A 1,890-nucleotide genomic window follows, 5' to 3' on the forward strand; every position below is an offset into this window, starting at 1 on the left:
AGGGAGAACTTCCTGGTCCTAGATGTCTTCTTTGAGGCCCTGACCTCTGAAGCCATGGAGCAGCGAGCAGCCTATGGCCTGTCAGCCCTGCTGGGTGAGACTGGTGTCCCTGCCCCCAGCTTGTGTGGGGGTGGATCGGCCCGGCCGCTCCCTCTGACACTGCTCTCCTGCTTCCCAGGAGACCTCGGGGGACAGATGGGCCTGTTCATTGGGGCCAGCATCCTCACGTTGCTGGAGATCCTCGACTACATCTATGAGGCAAGGGCCCTGGAGAAGGCAGGGTGGGAGTGGGGGCCGTGGGCAAAGCAGAAGGGGGCAGTGCGGGGTGCCTGGTGGAGCTGGCCTGGCTGGAAAGTCAGGTTCAGGGTTCTCTGCCAGGGTCCCCTGACTGGCTGGCAGGCCTGAGGGCTCAGAGTCAGGAGAAGGGGATGGGTGAGGAGGAGGAGGGTGTCCTACTGGGAGTTTGCTGTGGCAGTAAGTCCTGTGGGCAGCTGGGCATGGTAAGGCTCACGCTTCTCCTCAACCAAATTTCCTGAGCCCACTGCTGTCCCCGACCCTGAACCCCAAGGTGTCCTGGGATCGACTGAAGCGGGTATGGAGGCGTCCCAAGACCCCCCTGCGGACCTCCACTGGGGGCATCTCCACTTTGGGGCTTCAGGAGCTGAAGGAACAGGTGAGGACAAGCTCTAAATGCCTGCAGCATGCAGCCACACCTCCCCAGGACTGAATACATCCATTGTTTCTGAACCAGCCTGTGGAGGGGGCCCTGGAGCCTCTGCCCGAGGTGACAAGGAAAGGCTGGCGGTGTGAGCCCTGGGGGCACCACTTGAGCTCTCCCGGTCCCACTCTCTCTTTTCTTTCTCCTGCAGAGTCCCTGCCCGAGCCGGGGCCGAGTGGAGGGTGGGGGGGTCAGCAGTCTGCTCCCCAATCACCACCACCCCCACGGTCCCCCAGGAGGTCTCTTTGAAGATTTTGCTTGCTAGGACGGTGCTGTGACTGAAAGGACCCAGGAGTCTGGGACCCCTCCTGGGATCCCCAGCACATTCTCCTGCTCCTGGGAGAGGCCTGGGGGCGGTGCTCACTGGGAGGGCCAGGACTCAGTTCCTGCTCTCATCCTCCCCTGCCCTGATGTCAGCTGCTTTGCACAAAGGTCCTTCTTGTCCACACCCCTTATCCCCAGGCTGGTGCCCCGGGAGGGCTGGAGACCAGGCCATGGGCCCTCACGGAGAGGAAGGGAAGGAAGGAGAGGGAGGGGGAGGATAGAGCCCATCCCAGCCGGGGAGGGGGAGCCCTCTGTACATTTGTAAATATTTAGGGAAAGCCGGGTGGGGGGAGGGGATACAGATGTAGAAGGTGGGTAGGGCTACAGGGGTGGGTGATTTAGGGACAGCCAGGGTCCCAGCCCCAATGTCAGCAGGATAGGGAGAGCCCCAGGACTCAGGAGTGCTGGGCTGGTCCTACTTCCTGCCCCTCTCCAGGCCCAGCTCCCCTCTTGGCAGGGGGAGAGGATGGCCCAGCAGGCCTGGCCCAGCTCCCAGTTCCCCCTGCACCAGCCCCACCCCTAGAGTCCCTTCTATAGGGAGGGGGCAGGAGACCTTCCAGACTTCGGCTGAGCTTGGAGGGTGGGAAGGGAGCCTTCTCAGTCCTCTCTCCCTCCAGTCTGATTTTATAAAGTGCTGACGAGATTGGGAATAAAGAGGCATAAAGAATTCTCTGTGTGTATGTGTGACCAAGCACGCACTGGGGGCCGGGGTGAGGCTGGGCACATGCATGACTTGGTCCCGGGTGAAAGGAAAGGCAGGCCCCAGCAGGGGCAGGGGAGCCTGTGGTGCTCAGCCAGTCCTCCCTCCCCCACGCCTGCCTACCTTTTCAAAACCTCTGAATCACAAG

At 61.8% G+C, this 1,890-nt stretch overlaps 1 protein-coding gene across 3 annotated transcripts in view, besides 2 other annotated features; it reads left to right on the forward strand.

The window, feature by feature from the left end:
• Nucleotides 1–1,709, forward strand: part of ASIC4 (acid sensing ion channel subunit family member 4) — a 31,680-nt gene extending 29,971 nt beyond the window's left edge. For all 3 annotated transcript variants that reach the window (NM_018674.6, NM_182847.3, XM_017004439.2), the window contains 4 exons: nt 3–94; nt 179–258; nt 569–673; nt 870–1,709. In NM_018674.6, coding sequence (NP_061144.4) covers nt 3–94; nt 179–258; nt 569–673; nt 870–983 — 391 coding nt within the window. In that variant the 3' untranslated portion in view covers nt 984–1,709. The remainder of the gene's footprint in view (nt 1–2; nt 95–178; nt 259–568; nt 674–869) is intronic.
• Nucleotides 601–1,155: an enhancer, noted in NCBI's record as "H3K4me1 hESC enhancer chr2:220402386-220402940 (GRCh37/hg19 assembly coordinates)". NCBI's record gives its function as "activates a minimal SCP1, AML or CMV promoter by ChIP-STARR-seq in naive H9 embryonic stem cells {active_cell/tissue: H9 hESC(naive)}" and the evidence as "EXISTENCE:reporter gene assay evidence [ECO:0000049][PMID:30033119]".
• Nucleotides 1,156–1,711: an enhancer, noted in NCBI's record as "H3K4me1 hESC enhancer chr2:220402941-220403496 (GRCh37/hg19 assembly coordinates)". NCBI's record gives its function as "activates a minimal SCP1, AML or CMV promoter by ChIP-STARR-seq in naive H9 embryonic stem cells {active_cell/tissue: H9 hESC(naive)}" and the evidence as "EXISTENCE:reporter gene assay evidence [ECO:0000049][PMID:30033119]".

The sequence above is a fragment of the Homo sapiens genome, chromosome 2 (genome assembly GCF_000001405.40).
Source record: "Homo sapiens chromosome 2, GRCh38.p14 Primary Assembly".
Classification (NCBI taxonomy): Eukaryota; Metazoa; Chordata; class Mammalia; order Primates; family Hominidae; genus Homo; species Homo sapiens.